We start from the raw sequence: 20,292 nt of genomic DNA on the forward strand, positions 1-20,292 counted from the left end.
TAAAAAAAAAGAAACTAAAAACATTTCCCCCTCTTTTCAAAATACAGGTCTTCTTTTAGCCATATGACCTTAAAGCAGGTCACATTTCCTCTCTGGAACTAGGTTTCCTAATATGTGTCAGGCCCTGTGGTAGGTGTTTTGCATATAATGTCTACTAAGATCTGTTATGCAGATAAAATGAAACAGAATTTATTAGCCCTTTCTTAGAGTAAACTAAAATTCAAAGGGGTTAGGAAACTTGCCCCAAATCACACAGCTAATAAATGGCATATCTGATACACTGAACTTTCCTCTAACTCCAAAGACCTTGCTCTTTCCACCATATTATCTTGTAAAATGAGGATATTCTCAATAATCTCTAAAGTTACTTTATGTGATAAAACATATATAATTCAGTAATCCATTACTCTTCCAAAACATGCACAGGAAAAAAAATTTATTTGTTGAACGTTATCTCACTACTTTGAACTTGCTGACACTTAAAAATAATTTTAGAATTTTAAAGTAGACATAACTCGTTGACAATCTATAATATTTCACTAGGTTTTTCATGGACTATATAACGCAAAGTGCTTAATAAATTTAAAAAATGGCAAATAAATGGTAAGAGATAGTATTTTCAACCAAAGTTTTTAACAAGTTCTAAAGTGTCTTTAAAAAATATATATGCAGTTTTTACTTTTCTAAATTTTATAGTCATTAGAACCCAATTTACCTGTTAATTTGAAAAACGACGCTTTAAAGTCACTTTGAAATATCTTGTTCTAAAATAAATTACTGCAGAATAAAGAAAGGATATGGGTTTTCTGATAGCGATTTCTAGTCTAATATTATATTCTGATTGTCACCGAAATCATTCGTTATCTCTTCAGAATATGCTACTTGAAACATCTTTTGATCGTAGACCAGTCTATGTTACTTATGGTGAAATTCACCTACATTAGCCCAACTGAAAGCCGAGCATTTAAACATTACGAGTATTGCTGTGCGGTATCGGAGAAATTGAGAACCATTCGGTGCTAAGGGAAACACTTTATTAGACTTGATGATCTACTAATTTAACAAGCATTTATTGAGCATCCCCTACATGCCAGGTACTGAAGTAGAAGTCGAATATAATACAATCTTTGGCCATTAAGAACATTACGTCCGGCCGGGCCCGGTGGCTCACGCCTGTAATCCCAGCACTTTGGGAGGCCGAGGCGGGTGGATCATGAGGTCAGGAGATCGAGACCATCCTGGCTAACAAGGTGAAACCCCGTCTCTACTAAAAATACAAAAAATTAGCCAGGCGCGGTGGCGGGCGCCTGTAGTCCCAGCTACTCGGGAGGCTGAGGCAGGAGAATGGCGTGAACCCGGGAAGCGGAGCTTGCAGTGAGCCGAGATTGCGCCACTGCAGTCCGCAGTCCGGCCTGGGCGACAGAGCGAGACTCCGTCTCAAAAAAAAAAAAAAAAAAAAAAGAACATTACGTCCAGCGGACTGAAACTCCAGAACGGCTACGATCTTCGCTGAAACTACTACTTACAGATACGAGAACTGGTGGACCACACTATCTCACCAGTTCATTCTCCTGTTTATCACCGGAATATCAAATCCAAAATCAAGAGTACCCAAGAGAGGAAAAAAGGCAGCTACTCCCGAGCAGTTGAGCTCAGAGAGTAACCCCCACTCCCACGTTACTGAGGGCTGTGGGGTCTCCCGGGTGGACCCCGCAGGGTCCCGCGAATTAGAGGGGCCCCGGGAGGCACCTTCAGAGCCGGCACCAGGCAGAGGCGGGGGCGGGGCAGGCCGGGACCGGCGTCTCCATGCCGGGCCTCGCTCACCTCTTCCACCTCGATCTCCTTGTAGTCGATCTCTTCAAAGTTGAGGACCTGGGAAGGGGCTTCGATCATCTCACCGGCCGAAGACGAGGAGGAGGAGGAGGCGGCAGAGGCTGTAGACATGATCCCTCGCGGCGCCCGGTGGGGCCGGGAACGGTGCCACCCGGACAATCCGGGTGAGACCCGCGCCCACCCGCCTCCGGACCGACCCTCAGCCTGGAGCCGCGCAGTCCTACTACCCGGCGATCCGTGGCGGGGGTAGAGGCAGCGGCCACAGCCGTGTCCGGCTCTGGCTCCGCTGCGTTTTCCGCCGACGGGCCCCGCCCACTACACTTCCGGTTCCGGGCTGAAATCGGAAACAGGAGGAGGGCCGTAAACTCCGGGGTAGGGGAGGGGAGAATTTTGTGACTTGGAAAGAAAAGGAGGGACAGGTTGGGGGTGGGGTGGAGTAAGCTAAGAAGCAAACTTGGACCTCTAGAACAAATTTCGCGAGACCTTTATTACAGGGCCTCAGCAACCGGATGATACCGCGAGAGAGGACGCCTGACGTAATTAAAGTGCGCGAACGGAAGTGGCGCGGAACATGACGGAAAATCAGTACGGTTGGTCCCTTAAGGACCAGCGGGAAAGATAAAAGCTGGGGTTTAGTCTGTGCTGCGTGAAATATGTCTTGGCCTCACTTCCTGTCCTCTGAGCTGCCTGCAGCCGGGCGAGGTGGTGTTGAACTGTGTTTTTTGTGACGAAGCTTACTTTTAAGTTTCATCCCTAAACTAAGTTGACCTGTTTCTTTAAGACGGCTTGCAAAATGTGTTTTCCTCAATGTGGGATATGGAAAGAAGCAGTTGCTCCTGTTATTTTGAGCTAGTACCTGACGCTATGAGAAATTCTAAAAGAGCGAATCAGATCATGCAACATGAATAACTATGGAGGCTGAGTGATCAAGAACAGAAGTTAATATTTTGGTGTTACAAACTTTCCACGGATTAGGTGAATAAGATATTTATAATTTGGTGTGTTCATCTCAAGTTATGGATTACGAGTGCGGGGCACTAGTGCTTTAGATTGGTAAATGAATCATCAACAGTCGCCTTGAAAATCGAATATTTTTGTCACCATTTTCAGGACATGAGAAAACACGCTGAGAGTTTAAAGCAATTATGGTCCTCACAAACTAGATCATTCTGTCCCCAAGATGGTCAGTATTGCTCATGTTGTACTACCAGCACAAGTTTTAGTTTTAAACTAACTGTTGAATTTTATATAGTCCGTTTGACATAAAGCCTAACTGTGGAATTATGTTAAACACATTTGGGATTGCAAATAGATCATTGGATTTGACCATCAAGAAGTTACAAACTCCTGGGAAACATTCTGTCACTTTTTATTCGTAGTTCTAGTGACACGCAGTGACAGTTTGATGAGTGGATAAAAAAATGAAAGAAACGATAATTTCTTTTCACTGTACACTCTCTCTTTGCATGCTCTTACCCAAGGTCTCTGTTTCTCATACTATTTTTATAATGATGACTCCTAATCTCCAAATACTCAAGATTTTTCCTGAATTCTGGACCTATTGGTCATCTCTACTTAGACAAACACCTAAACTTCAAGATACCACAGCAAATTCAAAAGTTGTCACCCACCACAAATATATTCCTATGTTATTTTCCTATGTCACTTAAGGATGCCATCACCCAGTTGGTTGTCCAAGTGAGAAATCAGGGCATGTGAAATGATGCGTGGTGCACTGATACCCAGTAGAAGCTGATATAATCAGTGGGACAGTCATTTTCACCTGTCATTCCCCTTGCATTTCCAAACAAGGATGGTCACTTCTTACCTTGTGCTATAACTCTGCAGGTCTATATCCGATTTCCTTTTAACACCTTGATCTTGCTGCCAGGTGGGAACTCAATAAATACTTAGATATTCTGTACAAATGAATAGCTTTTGTCAGTCCTCCCTTTCCCTGGAGTGTAAGATATGTTTCCTGTACCTTCAGTTTAGGACTGGAATCTTGACAAAGGACTAATTAATTACCACAGCCATGATGCAGTTCTCCTGCTTGATTTTTCCCCCCAAAATTTTGTTACAAAAATGTCAAATATAGAGAAAAGTTGAAAGAATTTATGGTGAACACCTATATGCCCACCACCAGGATTCTACCTTTAACATTTTACTATACTTGCTTTATCATAATATACATATGTGCATCTCATCTCTCCATCCATATTTACATCCATCTACCATTTTGCTAGATGCATTTCAAAGTGAATTGATTACATGATTTTGAATATCTTCTACCCCAACACTTCTATGTTTTATCCACTGATTTGGACTTCTAATATTGATGCCAGTCTAAAATCAATTTTTGTCCAACTTGCTTGCAGATTACTTTTTTCTTTTTTGTCTGCCTGCGCCTTTTCCCTAGCTTCTAGTAATAGATGGAAAGTTTCATCAGTGTTTATGTCTCTGGGTTCAGTCATTCCCAAGGTCCAATCCATCTCTTACATTCTGTGATTTGGTTATGTGAGCTAGTAAATTACCATTTCATTTAAGCTGGTCCAAGTTGTATTTTTGTCACTTGTAACCAAATAATCCTAAGTAATAAAGTTTAAATGCAGAGGAATGATGGAGGGGAGCTGAACCTCTCTCAGTTCACTTCAATTTTGACTTTGCATTTCCTTTAACTTTCATGAATTAAGGATAGAAACTTGACCTCAGAATTTCATGTCAACTTCAGTCACCAGTCTGTGTGTCTCCACACGTTTCCGGATACATATCAAAACTATTTAAGTAAATTCCTTGAAGTCCCTCCGAGTTTGAGCACCCTCCACCATTCTCCCTCATGTCAGCACCCTAATAACTACTCTCTAACTTCCAACTCTGTCTTCAATTTTGGCCCTTTTATACTCTCCAGGGGTTGAGAGGACAAGGGTTTCAAAATCCATTTCCCACCACCTCTTTGCTTGTTCTAAATGAGATTCTGATCTTATTTGGCTCATTTTGGGTGTAGGGATATCTGGGACCTATTTTAATGGAGGCTTAGCAGAAACTGGGACTAAAGTAACACCACTTTAATGTTCTGGGTCATATATATGTCAGACAAGTGTTCCATATTTCCATCATAGGCTTGATGATAACATCAATAATTGAGTTTCCATTATTCTCTTCTGCCTTTTGTGGTATTTGCTATATTCTACAATAGTGTTTTTCAATCTTTTTTTTCATTATTGTTCTTTTAAGGAGCCTTTTTAGACATCTTAATGCCCCTCCTCAAAGTTTTAATACCTCAGATACACTGTATATCTATTTATGTATTGTATGTATATTTGTGCTTTCTATGTAAAAAGAGTAAGATTTTTTCTCTCTCCAGTTTTTGCCCCCTGTGGAGGTGTTATTGCCTCCATTGAGAATGCATGTACTAGCAGTTTCATTTTTCACATGACACATCACAAAGTACAACCGAGAGCATCTCTTGGTAGCCATCTCAGAAGAGCAGTTAAACATTCTTTTTCAAAAGCCCTTGGTAAGTTTACCCTTGAGGGATGGGGAACAGGATGCTTGAGGATACACACAGTCATGCGCTGCATAACGATTTTTTGGTCAATGGACCTCATATGTGACAGTGGTCCTATATGATTATAATGAAGCTGAAAAAATCCTATTGGCTAGTGACATTGTAGCCATAGTAATGTCATAGCATGACACATTACTTATAGTGCATTACTCGTGTTTGTGGTGATACTGGTGTAAACAAACTTATGCTGCTAGTCATACAAAAGTATAATACAATTATGTGCAGTGCATAATATTGATAATGATAAACAACTATGTTACTGGTTTATATAATTACTATACTATACTTTTTAATTGTTATTTTACAGTGTACTCCTACTTCCATAAAAAAACTATAAAACAGCCTCAGGCAGGTCCTTCAGGAGGTATTCCAGAAGAAGGCATTGTTATCATAAGAGATGACTGCTCCGTGCGTGTTATTGCCCCTGAAGACTTTCTGGTGGGACAAGATGTGGAGGTGGAAGATAGTGATGTTGATGATCCTGACCCTGTGTAGGTAGACCTAGGCCAACATATGTTTGTCTTACTTTTTAGCCAAAACGTTTAAAAACTATAAAAAAATAAATAAACAGAAAAAAGTGTATAGAATAAGGATCCAAATAAAATACTTTTGTACAGCTGTTCAGTGTGTTTGTGTTTTAAAGCTAAGTGTTATTACAAAAGAGTCAAAAAGTTTTAAAAAATTTAAAAGTTTATGAAGTAAAAGAGTTATAATAAGCTAAGGTTAATTTATTGTTGAAGAAAACTTTTAAAAAATAAATTTAGTGTAACCCAAGAGTACAGTGTTTATAAAGTCTACAGTAGTGTACAGTAATGTTCTAGGCCTTCGCATTCACTCACCAGTCACTCACTGGCTCACCCAGAGTAACTTCCAGTCTTGCAAACTCCATTTATGGTGAGTGCCCTATATAGGTGTACCATTTTTTTAAATCTTTTATATTGTTTCGTTACTGTACCTTTTCTATGTTTAGATACACAAATACCATTGTGTTACATTTGCCTGCAGTATTCAGTATAGTAACATGGTTTATACAGCTTGTAGCCTAGGAACAGGTATAGCTGTTATATACCTAGGTATACCATATAGCCTAGGTGTATAGTAGGCTATGTCATCTTGTAATGATATAAGTATATAATGTTTGTATAAGTACACTCTATGATGTTCACATAATGGTGGAATTGCCGATCAACACACTTCTCAAAACTTATCCCTGTAGTTAAGCAATGCATGACTGTACGTTGTTTAACTTAGATTGAGGGCTCCTGGAAACATGGGCTCTAAGGAGGAGGAGGAGATGCTAACCCGAAGGAAAATCTTAATACTCTTAGGAACAGCAAAGCAGGCAATGGTTGATGGGTGGTGGGTATGCAACCAGCAAATGCTCATTATTCATATGTTTATTCAGATTGAGCTCTGTGATGGTTAATTTTGTGTCAACTTGATTTGGCTAAGGTATACCCAGCTAGCTGGCAAAACATTATATCTGGGTGTGTCGGCGAGGGTGTACTTGGAAGAGATTAGCATTTGATTAAGTAGGCTGAGTAAAGAAGATCTGACCTCACCAATGTAGGGAGTCATCATCCCATTGTTGAGAGCCCAACAGGACAAAAAGGTAAAGGAAGGATGATTCACTCTCTCTTCTTGAGCTGGGACATCTATTTCCTCTGTACTCAGACATCAGAGATCCTGGGTCTTGGCCTTTGGACTTCAGGACTTACACCAGTCCTCCCCTTAGGCCTTTAGAGCCGGTCTGAGAGTTACACTCTTGGCTCCCCTGGTTCTCAGGTCTTGGACTGGATTACACCACTGGCTTTCCTGGTTCTCTAGCTTGCAGAAAGCAGATGGGGTAACTTCATGGCCTCCGTAATTACATGAGCCAATTTTCATAATAGATCTCCTTATATATATCTTACTGGTTTTGATTCTCCGGAAAGCCCTAACACAAGCTCCACACCTAGAAAGTGCTATTTTTACTGCCTGAGACCCAAACCCACCCAACCCAATTAAATATTATTCTTTCCAGGAAGTTCAGAAATAGTATTCTGCTGCACTGTATTCAGAACTGGAGTATGCAGAGGATAGCCAGTCCCTCAGCATTTTAGTGACACGGCTAGAGAGCAGCATTTCTTTAATATATGCATTTGTTCTATATTTTCTACCCTCCATATCTTCATCCTAGGTCTCTGGCATCCCAGGAGAAACTAAGCTGGAACTTAGCCAACTCATGGAGCTGCAGGAAGCGTTGGTGTTCCAGTTACCCACAATGTAGCTTTTAAGGGTGAGCATTGCAAAGGTGGAGTAGAGGCTTCTGGCAGGTGCAGCTCCAAGACATTCTCTGACATCACAGTTAGCTGACATTTCTGTTTGCAGGTAACATTCTCTCCTTTAACCCCATCCCCATCCAAGCTAGTTATAGGTGACTGTTTTGATGATGTCTGTGTGTTCTGCCAATAAAAATGTCCATTATTTTCTAAACACTTGATATAAGAAAGTACAACTTATCTCAAAATTTGCTTATATTACCACAAGACATTTGAACATTATATTTGACAACTAAAGGAGAGCTGTTTAATTTGAACTGTTGTAAATTTTAGAATGGTTATAAAAATGCTTTTTTCATTTACTTTTATGAAGAAAGTTTTTCTTTGATGATGACTATCAAGAATTTGAAGAGATCATCCTTAAAAAGTCTGGATCAGGAATTGATGGTAGTCATTTCAAATATAATAATTTATGTTAAAAATTATATTCATGAAGGAAAGCTTATTAAAAATTCTTACTAAAATTTCAAAGAGTCTATTTGGTGTTTTATACAAATTTAGTGTTTAACATTGTCTCTAATACATTGTATTTCATTTTTCAAAATTATATAATGTAAAAAAAAAGATGGTTTTTAAAATTAAGCCCTGAATAGATGACTTCAATCCCTTCTAGTTTATCCCAGAGTATCTTACAATATTATCTTTTTTTCTTTCTTTCTTTCTTTTTCTTTTTTTTTTTTTTTTGAGACGGAGTCTTGTTCTGTCACCCAGGCTGGAGTGCAGTGGCATGATCTCGGCTCACTGCCACCTCTGCCTCCTGGGTTTAAGCGATTCTCCTGCTTCAGCCTCCTGATTAGCTGGGATTACAGGTGTCTGCCACCACACCCGGCTAATTTTTGTATTTTTAGTAGAGACAGGGTTTCACCATGTTGGCCAGGCTGGTCTCGAACTCCTGACCTCAGGTCATCTGCCCCCCTCAGCCTCCCAGAGTGCTGGGATTAGAAGCGTGACCCACCACGCCTGGCCAATATATCATTTTCTATGTGTGCCATGACATGAAAAAGTTTGGGAAGCACCGAGTTAGGAGGCTGTTGCAGTATTCAAGGCAAGACATAATAGTGGTTTAAACAACATGGATAGTGGCCATAGGGGTTATAGATAAACGGATAAATGGGAGGCATTGAGGAAATAGAATTGGTAGAGTTAGTGATTGGTGGGAGTTATTGACTGACACTGGAAGTGGGGAAGGAGGTAAAGGAAAGGGCAATATAGAGGAGGATTTCCAGATTTTTCATTTGTGCAATTCATTGTAGAAAGGGTGCCTTTTGCAAGAGGCAAGAAGAAGAGCGGGAACAAGGTTAGGGAAGAGGAGAATGAAGAAATAAGTTTTAAACATGTTGAGCTAGAGGTTCCAGAGAGTATTATGATCAAGTAGGCAGCTGATCTTCCGGGAAAAGACAAAGCTAGAGAAACAGATGCTGATCTACTGATGATATTAATAATTAAATTCATGGAAATTGAAAGATATGTAAAGTGAGACTAGGACTTAAGAAAGAGCTGTAAGGAATAAAATGGTTAAGGAGTGGGTAGAGCTGGAGTAACTACCAAAGAAAGTTGTGGAAAATAATTTAAAAAAACTATGATATTGTAGAAACCAACATGAAAAGGATGTTTGTGTTGAATACTTACAAGAAGTTAAACATGGCCGGGCGCGGTGGCTCACGCCTGTAATCCCAGCACTTTGGGAGGCCGAGACGGGCAGATCACGAGGTCAGGAGAGCGAGACCATCCTGGCTAACACGGTGAAACGCCGTCTCTACTAAAAACACAAAAAATTAGCTGGGCGTGGTGGCGGGCGTCTGTAGTCCCAGCTACTTGGGAGGCTGAGGCAGGAGAATGGCGGGAACCCAGGAGGCGGAGCTTGCAGTGAGCCGAGATCGCGTCACTGCACTCCAGCCTGGGCAACAGAGTGAGACTCCATCTCCACAAAAAAAAAAAAAAAAAAAGAAGTTAAACATGAGAAAATCTTGAAAAGGGTCTGTTGGGTCTAGGAACTCAGAGGTCACCCATAACCTTGACTAGGGCAGTTTCCAAGGTGGGAACAGAAACTAGATGAGTTGGACTGAGTGAGAGGTGAGAGAAATGAGGACAGTAATGTGGACAACTTTTTGAGAAATTTGATTGTTAAGGGAAGGCAAAATACAGAACAGTATAAATTAAACCCACATTGCGGCGAGGGAGTTTAGGGCTTTGGCAAGAGTATAGCTGAATGATGGGCCATGGGAGCTAACCTGAAGAGAGGATAAAGAGATGATGGGAGGGTATGATAGTTTGGGAGAAGGTAGAAGGGTCACTAGGGTGGAGGTTTGCCATGTGATTGAAGAACAGGTGTGGTGAACGTTTCCTGGGCAAACTGGGTGGATCTGGGGTTGTGTTTAGAGAGTGAGACTTTTGAATTTGTGATTTCAAAGGTGGTGCAGTTTCAGGTAAGGGCAACATTCAATCTGAGATACGATTGGGAGAAAAGGAGGGAACTGAGAAGGGCAGGAACTGAGACGTCAGGATGTCTGTGAGTCATTCATCTAACTGTCTGCTGTTGGACATTGAGGTTGTTTTTAACACTCCCCCCTCCCCCCTTTAAATATCACTGAGATGAACATCCGTGAACATTATTTAAATTTAGTGTTTTTAGGGTATCTTCATGCAAAAGCTATTCTATTTCTTTGGTAATCTTAAAATGCTTCAAGTTTGCTTATGCTTTAGAGAGGGGTGGTAAACTAATTGTAGTTAGGATTTCTGTGCTTTATCTTCAAAGCACAGGTTTTAGAATTCTGATAGAGTTCTTATCTTGATTCTGCCACATATCTTGAATAAATTACTTAAAATTTCAACTTTAGTTTATCTAATACCTACATCAAAGGTTTTGGTGCAGATTAAAAGTGACTGGTTCATAGAAATTAAATATGAAGTAATTGTTAGTTTTCCTTTTTTCCTTCTTGGTGTGGTGATAATGGGCAAAACAGTTCTCCATCACAGATAATAGGAGACTATTGTCCCATCATAGCTTAGTTGCTAACTGGTACAAAATTGGAAAGAAAAGAGAGGCTGGATTGGGGAGATTTGTTGAGGGGAAAAAAGTGTGCTGGTGATTTTTTTATGTATACTCTTTCCACTAGCCCCAGTAAGAGGGGTCTCTGCTCTGAGCCACACACTTTAAAATCTCCTTTTATACCATGTTTGTCATGGGATGAGAGCTCTAGGTACTCAAGCCCCTGAAATAGCCCCCAGACAGCCCCAAAGCTACGTGTACAAGTTTCTCCTCTGGGTCTGTCCTCCGGAGGGCTAGCCAAAGTGTATCTGTGTATGCGTATGTGTGTGTGAATGGGCTCAGATGGGCAGGCTTGGGAGCCCACATGTGGGTGTGTAAAGGCCCCTTGCAGTGTAGATTGAGCCCAGAGTAGGAGGACAGGGGTATAAATCAGGAGTTGGAGGCTAGCTTTGCTTATACCACTACATTCTAGTGAAAGGGAATATTGTCAAGGTAGGAGGATGGAATATATTTTATTTACCAGTTTACCTTGATTTACTGCTTATAAATATTTAGGCATATAATATGTGAGCCTCCATTTGTACTCTTACCCTGAGCCCCACAGATGTTAGGAGAATGTCTGCTTTTGTAAGTGCTAGATTTCTGTTCCTGTGTACTACTCGTGATTTATAGGTAAGATGTTCCCAGCTTGGATTTGCTATTTCCTAAATTTTCCACAGATGTCTGTACCTTATCAGGTAGGTCTCAGCTCAAACAGCACCTCAGAGATAGTGATATGGTCCTCCCTTTGGCTCCCTCTCCCTTCACTTCTATCTATTACTAAGTTTTATTTCTAGCCCTTTACCTATCAACATCATCTTTTTAATTATTTTCTCTCTTGTTTATTTTCTGTCCTCCTACCCCTTACCAGACCCTGCCCATTGGATGTTAGCTGAACTGGGGTGAGAATTGTAAGTGTTTAGTAGACACTTAATAACTTTTTAGAAAGTAAATGAGTATCTACATTTCTAAATAAATGCTGTTTACTTTATTTCAGGTGTAAGGATTGGGTTAACCAAATGTTTTCTATAACTGGGGGAAGATTTAATAAATAAATTGATATATAATTGGCATACCAACTATTTGTAATGAAGATTTCTCGAGTATTTGAGGGTTTTGAAAATTCTTCATTCTCCTGGTCAGTTTAAATATCTCTCCAATCTTCATGTTACTAAGTTTTAGGATACTTTTTTCCCCTGGATTTTCCAAGGGTAAACTTTAGTTCTTTCCAAATACCTATTTAATTCATTTGAATAGTTTGCTTGTTGAAAGTTAATAAGGTGTTATTATGGCACTAATGATTACTTTCAGAAATAACTGATATTTTAATCAAAAAATATGTAAAAATAGAGAGAATAGACAGAGTTTTATTTTCTGAGCTTCCGAGCTAAGCTTTATCATCATGATATACTTCAGCATCGGTTTTTCATGGCAGAAACTTAATCAGATAAGAACATGAGTCAGCAAAAAAATTATCTTCATGGAAATAGTGCTCTTCACTACAAAAGTGCATTCACTGAATGTTTTATGTCATAGACTAATATGTCACATCGATGTTCTTAGATGATCTTTCTCAGAAGAAACTGCAGAAGCAATTTGGTTTCATTTATGGGAATAAATAAGGGTATTTCATTTCACACAGCCTCAGGAAATCACAAATTAAAACTTTCCACTAAAATGGATGCCATCCACTCTTCATTATTTCAACAAACAAACCACTCCACTCTGCTGAAGCTATAATCAGGGTAAGGGATATTGTAGTGCTTGAAACCTGTGAGGCTGAGAGGGTCTACTTTGCATTCTTGTTCGTTAGCAACCCATTTCACATCTTCCTCCGAGTTCCCCAGCACCGCACAGAGCTACTCTCAGTGGCACAAAGCTCTATTAAGTAAATAGAGGCTCCATATTTAAAAGCCATCTCTGGGAATTCAAAGTGCTCTGAGAGGGAAGTCAGTACTATCAAGATTAAGGTATTAATGAAAAGTTCTGTTAAATTTCTGTTGGGATGCTAATTAATCTTCTAAAAATTGTTAATCAATTCAATTATGTAACACACTTAAACTTTAACACATGATACAGGAAAAGTAACAGGGTCTTTTAATTATGCCCAGAGGCATTCAGAAAGTTAAGGGAAATTGTCTAATGGGAAAAGTGTCCCCAAATGGTGTTTTAGTTGAATCTAAAATATTCACTTGTTCTATTACACTTGACAAGTTTGGGAAATCGATATTTAGTGCTTAGATATCCGAAGAAATATTAGAAGTATTAGAAGAAATTCAGGAAGTGGAATTATGACAACTATTTCTTAATGGAATTTTCTATCTGAAGTGCAGAAGACAATCTAAGCACAGATTATTAAACTCATGCTTTAGCTTGAATTGTTAAATGAAGAAATAATCTGATAAACTTTTAATATTTGAAGGCTGACTAACCATGCTAACTCTAAGTATTGAGCTAAGTGAGCTATGCTATATTCCTATCAATATTAAAATATTTTGTTTTAGTTGTTAATCGGAATTTGAATCATATCAGTTTTGTTAAATATTAAAATGTCAATCCATTTCTAAATATTTTAGTGTGTATGAAACAGTATGTGAAAGTATGTAGTACAGAGCCTAGAAAATATGTGGTTTTCAAAAATGTTAACATGAATGAAATACTATATAGAGGAACAGAAATAAACAACATGATGCAACAACAATAGTTAGTCACCATTCTATAGATTCTGATCAGTAAGTCTCTGATATGGCAGCATTAGTTTCTATGTCACAGGCCAATCAGAGTTGAGAGCCCTTGAGGTCACATATAGGCAGCAGCATTTATGTTAATAAATAATTTGAATTATTCATTTTGAATAACTAAAAATTAGTGATTGTATTTTAATCTTCAGCACATTTTCCTATTGTTTAAATGAAGAAAGTCGCTGCCTGGGCAACACAGTGAGACCTTGTCTCTACAAAAAAGTAAAAAAATTGAGGCAGGAGGATCGCTTGAACCCAGGAGGTTGAGGCTGCAGTAAAATGTGATCATGCCACTGCACTCTTGCCTGTGTGACAGAGTGACAGCTTGCTTCAATCAATCAATCAAGTTGGTGTTAGCTGTTTTGATTTATAATACATTTCTTTTCACTGAAGTTGAAGACTATTTCCAGTAGGGTTCATGGGGCAGTTACACATTGGTAAGGATACCTTGATCGTGGCTGTAATCTTTGGTTTTGTAAGCTTAATAACTCCATTTTATCAGTTAATTCAAAGGATGATTAGGCTTTTGATTCCTCCTTGCCAGAACCACTAGTGACCATATGAACTAAAGAGCCAATATAGTATACTAGTCCTGAGTGAGGGGCTGGAGACTGGTTAAGCTGAAGAGAATGATAATAGGCTTATGAATAAAAGGAGACTTTAAAAGAGTGGTATATACAGTAGTTCTCCTTTATCCATGGTTTCACTTTCTGCAGTTTCAGTGACCATATTCAGTCTGCAAATATTCAGTGAAAATGCCAGCAATAAACAATTCATACATTTAAAGTTGTGCACTGTTCTAAATAGCATGATGAAATCTTGTGCTGTCACATTCTGTCCTGTCCCTTTGTCCGGGGTATCCATGCTGTAGAAACTACCCACCCATTAGTCACTTAGCAGCCATCTTGGTTATCAGGTTGAAAAAACAGTATATAGAGTTTGGTACTAGGCATGGTTTCAGGCATCCACTAGAGGTCTTGGAACGTTTTCCCCTTGGATAAGGGCAGTCTACTGACAAAAGATATTGGCGTAGTTATCGGTGAGCTTCTTAATGTCCTAGAAAATTGTGTTACCAACTTGGTCAGGTTATCATTGAAAAGAAAACAGCTAGCTTTGTAACCACAGGAAGACATTTCATTTTAATTATCTCTAAAGGTTCCTTGTATGTAAAGTCACCAAAGCCTACTTGTCTGAAAGCTTAGAGCTGGATTTCCAATTCTAGGCCTCTATGGAAGCTATCAGATGATCACATTCCTTTGGGGGCATATCAGAGTTCCTTAAGACAAATGATTAATTGTAATCTTCCTTGTCTAGAGTATGTTTTTTGAATATAGACTTTCCTGGGAAAATAAGAGGTTTTCCTGTTAGCTTATTTGATGAGATAATTATACTTTAGTGTTGCATCACTATGGTTTTCTTAATAGTATTCTCTTTTCTTATCTGATGCCAACTATTCTTAAAACTTGAGTAGAGTAGAAAGATTCTTTGATTTTAGGAAGAAGAAATTAAAGTTGAAATTTATGCAGAGTAAAACGTTTTAAAGAATGCAAGGTCAATTAATCCCTAGAAATGAATCCTCTGGGATGTTTAGGAATGGAGTCTGTACTATAATGAGTGCATCAAATGTAATGTTATACTGCATGATATTAAGTATATAAATAGGTGATTTTGAGAGGATGAAAAATAGCAAATATTATCATTCAGTTTATGTTTGGGTTTTAAACCTCTACATTTCTTAAACTTTTCTAATAAATACTTCTGGTTTCCTTGATAAATGACAATTGTTTAAGGTTACTATGTCATTATCTTGATCCAAACTTGATGAAATTCACAGCCTAAAGGGAAATTTCATTGTGAGATCAAATTAAGCAATTCTTGATCAATCTAAATGAGAGTAAGTTCCATACCTCCTCACACATTCAGACAATTCAAAAGGTTATTAATCAATATAAGCCATCTTCATTAAAAGAAAAACAATAGCATATTCTAATTGACATATGGTATTTATTAAACTAACAAAAATGGATTTATCTTTGGTTTTAATTTCATGTATTGCTTACCTTAACTCCCCTGCTCAGAATTGATTTCTACTTTTTTCTTCAGCCTAACCAGTCTCCAGCCCCTCACTCATTATCAATTTTAATAAGCCTGGGATGGATCTCCGTTGGAAAACAAAGAATACATTATACCCTGTCTCTAGCTTAATTTATTAAAAAAATAGGTATTATCAGAATTGACAATTTATGTATGATTGAAGCATATTGAACTGGAATAAAAATGATTTCTGAAGGCAACAAAATTAGCTGAAGGACTATGATAAGATGTAAAATCTGCATTACAAATTTAGCCTTGAGTTGCCATTGGATCCTGAGAAAGAATGTGAGAGATTCAGAATATGTAGAGAACAAAAAGTAAGATGAATTTGCTTCTTACATTCAAGATGCTCTTTTACTTTAGGTTTTTAATTGGCTACATAACTATGTTTATATTAGGAGAAATTGTTAGAGTTAAATCTATTATTTTTATTCTTGGTTCTTTATGGCCACAAATGGAGTATGCGACCATCTCTTAGGGAAGAAAAAGTCCTGCATCAAAGCTGTCCCTTCTTACATAAAAGTGAAGTTTTAAAAGTAAATTAAAACTCAGAGCTCAGTGCATGTGGGGTGTGAATGGCTGTATTGTGGTGTATCTATATGTGGATAGTTCATTTCTAAATCATTCACTGATTCCTTTATCAAGCACAGTGGTTTACTGAGTGTAGACGGTAGTAGCCACTATACTGTAAAGCCTGTTTAGCCTGGAGTTAAAAAGAAGTTACGGTTATATTTTGTTTTCATACCCTCTTCTTTACTTTAGGGTCTCTTTTGCTTATGTAAGAATTGCCAATAATTGCCAGGTGTAGCAGATATTCTGAGTGTCCCACCCATATCCCCTTAAATTATTTTACTGTTTCCATACATGTGAGCTTGACTTCCCACGGGCAGCAACTACGTCTTTCTTGGGTGGCTACCTTTGAGTTGCCAAAACCCACTTTGCCCACATACCTGGGCCGGCTGGAAGGGGATGGAAATTAATTTCTTTCAGGTGATGGCCCTTAACCCAGTGATCTGTGGTGTAGAGGTATAAATACCCAGGCTCTTCACCTGTTTTTATGGACTAATTCCAGAGCTTCCTTGTGGTGTCACTTGGGCAGTTGGCTTAATAATACACCCTTTACTGCCCGCTTTTCCTTTTCTCCATCATCTTCCCCTTTTTCTGTAAGGATCACTGTTCCATGGACTTTTTCTGTAAGTCCATTGAGTACACTGTCCCATGTGCCCTCAATAATTGTTTTCTCAGATTTTGCTTCTAGGGGAAACTGAACTAAAAACTTGGTATTGTCCAAACAATCCAGGTGGAACCTTGGTTGTAGCAGTGCAGGTCTACTAAATACAGATAGTGGTTAGACTTTTTATTTCTTTTTCAGGCCTGAAAACATTAACATATGACTGGCAGAATCTTACTAGGTATATTTGATTGCAGATTAACAGTCACATAAATGCTGGTATATATAAATTCACATTCACATAATTTATGTACCCAAGAACTTTTCATTAACTGGTTTCACTTTGAGATCACCAAATGACCTACCAAATTATAGCTTTAAATAATATAAATCACTGGGTGGAGTGATTATGTATGTAATTTTTCAATTGAACAAAACTCACTGAGCATCTATTATGTGCTAGGTACTACGCTAGGTAGATATATAACAATGACTAAGACTAATGATTGCTTAGTCTTAACTTTCTGCTTTCATGGAAGCTTAAAGTTGAGCTATTTTGTTGTTTACAGCTATATTTACATGCTGCTCTTGCAAATCTTAATGGCTGTTAATAAGAGTTTATTGGTTTTACTCAATGTGTCTGATTATTTTCCCTAGTACTTGCATTGCAATACTCAGAGTGGAAATACATTTTTCTCTGCTGTGCTCTTCTATATTGATTGCAGCATACTGATTTTGCATATCTCGTACATCAACCTAACTAGTTCTCTTTTTTTTGCTCTTTATATTGGTCATTCTTTTGAGAATGAGTTTTCATTATTGTCGAATTTTATTTGTTTCAGGGTTTATTACTCCACTAATGTCTCACTGAGATTAGCATTTCTCAAAGTTTTTGTGTTTATTTCAGGCATATTTGCTAAAAAATGTTTAAGCTTTTGATTAAGTATTAAAATTCTCAAAACTGAATACATTTTTTAATTAAGTGGTCTGAAGCACAAATAATTCTTAATACTATGCAGAAGTTTGAAATAAGTGCCATATTTAGCTTTATTCATTGCAGCAATTTTTTCAGCTTATTAAAAATATTAAGTTAATACTTCCTTAGAAATACATAAAAATCTTAAAAATGGTTATTTTTTATAGTCATATGTCAGTGTAAACATTTATAAACTAAGAACTATGGTTTTCTCATGGTCACTGTATTCCTGTGCATTCATTGACTATAGTGTTCACCTGAAATTTGCAACTAGCCAGACCTTAAGAAAACATAGCAGAAACCTTATGTACAATACAGTACATTATTTAAAGCTTTGGATTAATATATGCGTTTTATTTGAAGAAAACAATGGTTTATTAGTCATTCTTTGCCATTAACATTCTTTGCACATAGAAATGGTGCTTTCTAAGTCTGTCGTTGATGTTTGTTTTGGCATTAACATCTCGGTTTTCCCTCGGAGAATGACCTCTCCTAGTACTTGGGTTTTAGGTGAGGTTGACTGCTCCTCTCTTCAGTGGTGGGAACACCATCTGTGAATGATGAGAGTAGTACCTCTCTTGCAACATGTCTTTGGTGATTGGTTCAGGGGTAGATATGTAAACCAAGTCAGACCAATCAGAACCAGTAAACTTTGGCTACAACTGTAGGAAAGAGGCATTCTCTTTCTTCCAGGGTTCCTAGGCTGATAGTCTGTATGCCTGGTGCTAATAGCAGCTATCCTTATGACAATATGGGAAGAGCTTGCTTTGAAAACAAAACCTGTAAAAGGAATTGGAGGATATATGGAGAGAAATGGAAACCTACTGACAAAGTCTGAGCATCTGGATCCAGTAGTGCCTGGAGATCCACCTCTCCACTCTTACTTGAACCATTAATTTCCAACTGCTCCACCAACGCTCTCCCACCATCCTTTCGCAGATTGTGTTTTTCTCTCACTTTTTTCCCAATACTTACTATGTAAATCTATATGAATCCATTGTTCTCCTTCCCTCCACAGGAGTTTTGTGATCAAAATATGAAATTGGCCCTTGTCCTATGTGTGGCAGAGTTAGGGTTTTCTTTGCTGTGGAGCCAAAAGAAGTGCCCTGTGGTGTTGAATTCATAGTTAAATGCAGAGCCATTAAACTGAGTATGACCTGAATCTATGATTGTAAAGAAAATGTACTGTTTACTGAGCTCCTGCTATTTCAGACGTTAGGGAAAGAGTAATGAGTGACACAAATAAAAATCCCTTGACTTCTTGAAGCTGACATTCTTGTTGTATTATTTCAGAAGCTTTGGTACCTAGAACTGGAGCTATTTCTGGGTCACGTGGCACTCAGGAAGACTTCATTTCTCTGCCCAAAACTCTTAAATTATTTCCCACTGTGCTTAAATAAAAACCCAAAGGCCTTAACATACTTTTTAGGCCTGCGTGATAAAATCTGGTTCATACTCACTTGTCCGAAACCTTATCCAAGGACTTATACCTTCCCTGGTTTACACCAGTTTACACCAGTCACACCAGATTTCTTCCCTTTCCTCTAACGTTAATCTGTCTCAGACACTTTCATATTTTCTTCAGCCAGTCTTGACTCTCTTCCCCTCTCTACCCTGTACTTCACTTCACATGGTCCCAGCTTAAATGGCATTTCTTTGGAGAGCTCTTCTTTACCCAACCCATCTAAAGTGAGTTGCCTTAATATAATCTCAGAGAACTCTGTTTTTTTCATAGTATTTATAATAAATTGTTATATATTCATGTATATCTATTTATATGCATATATATTTTGGTGTTTACTAACTCTGCCACCATTGTCAGCTCTGTGAGGTCAGAGGCTATATCTGTTTTGTTTGCCACCAATTGGTCAGTGCCTGGCATAGTGCCTAGTACAATGCAGAAACTGAAATATATTTGTTAAATAATTATGTGGCTTGACCTCAAGCTCTTTAGTGGTAGCCTCAACTCTCTCAACCCTTATTTGAGTCTCATGCTTCCAAGTCTAGGACTCTTCCCAGCTCTCTTCTTTATCCTAGGGGTCATTCTGGTATAGCAGTCATCATCTATTTACGTGATAGGCTGGGTCTCAGGCTCCAAAGTGGGAAAGTGACCACAGGGACATGATGAGATAACAGGAACCAAAACAGAAACTCCACCCTTACAACTAGAGCTTCCCAGAGCTGGGATTGAAAGGGACAGGATAATTCCAGAATTCTACTTATCATCCCTAGGGCACTGAACCCCAAGCCTGACTGTGGGTGGAAGAGGCTCAGGCATCAACATGGAAGCCAGTGATGAGACTGAGAAATGGGCAAGTGTCTGCTTCTAAGCTTGTTTCGAGTGTGATGTTTGTGTGTTAAGTGAGGGGTAGCTGTGTAATGAACAGCTGTATCTGCTTACATACTGACTACCTAACACTGAGAATGACTGGATAACCGGGAAAAAACTGACCTCAAGGTGGGAAACCAGTATAACCAATTGTGGGGATCTAGGGGAGTCAGAGGCAGGGAAAATTAGAAGAGCTGACATTCTGATCTTGCCTATTCCCATTATTCTGGT

At 38.6% G+C, this 20,292-nt stretch overlaps 1 protein-coding gene and 1 long non-coding RNA gene across 7 annotated transcripts in view, besides 3 other annotated features; one reads left to right on the top strand and one right to left on the bottom strand.

The window, feature by feature from the left end:
* Positions 1-2,133, bottom strand: part of MAP3K7 (mitogen-activated protein kinase kinase kinase 7) — a 73,494-nt gene extending 71,361 nt beyond the window's left edge. For all 4 annotated transcript variants that reach the window (NM_145333.3, NM_003188.4, NM_145332.3 and 1 more), the window contains exon 1: positions 1,825-2,133. In NM_145333.3, coding sequence (NP_663306.1) covers positions 1,825-1,944 — 120 coding nt within the window. In that variant the 5' untranslated portion in view covers positions 1,945-2,133. The remainder of the gene's footprint in view (positions 1-1,824) is intronic.
* Positions 1,855-6,020, top strand: LOC124901363 (uncharacterized). Of its 3 annotated transcripts, XR_007059679.1 has the most exons (3): positions 2,274-2,808; positions 2,944-3,016; positions 5,709-6,020. It is a non-coding gene; the product is annotated as an uncharacterized LOC124901363 (long non-coding RNA). The 3 variants fall into 3 exon arrangements; XR_007059680.1 differs by having other exon boundaries at positions 1,855-3,016; XR_007059681.1 differs by lacking the exon at positions 2,944-3,016 and having other exon boundaries at positions 2,252-2,808.
* Positions 1,953-2,072: a silencer, noted in NCBI's record as "silent region_17400". NCBI's record gives its function as "represses an Ori minimal core promoter by ATAC-STARR-seq in GM12878 lymphoblastoid cells {active_cell/tissue: GM12878}" and the evidence as "EXISTENCE:reporter gene assay evidence [ECO:0000049][PMID:35858748]".
* Positions 2,069-2,265: a silencer, noted in NCBI's record as "fragment chr6:91296727-91296923 (GRCh37/hg19 assembly coordinates)". NCBI's record gives its function as "represses an EF-1alpha promoter that drives an FKBP-Casp9 reporter gene in an ReSE screen in K562 erythroleukemia cells {active_cell/tissue: K562}" and the evidence as "EXISTENCE:reporter gene assay evidence [ECO:0000049][PMID:32094911]".
* Positions 12,352-12,917: an enhancer, noted in NCBI's record as "NANOG hESC enhancer chr6:91307010-91307575 (GRCh37/hg19 assembly coordinates)". NCBI's record gives its function as "activates a minimal SCP1, AML or CMV promoter by ChIP-STARR-seq in naive H9 embryonic stem cells {active_cell/tissue: H9 hESC(naive)}" and the evidence as "EXISTENCE:reporter gene assay evidence [ECO:0000049][PMID:30033119]".

Source organism: Homo sapiens, chromosome 6 (genome assembly GCF_000001405.40).
Source record: "Homo sapiens chromosome 6, GRCh38.p14 Primary Assembly".
In the NCBI taxonomy this organism is placed as follows: domain Eukaryota; kingdom Metazoa; phylum Chordata; class Mammalia; order Primates; family Hominidae; genus Homo; species Homo sapiens.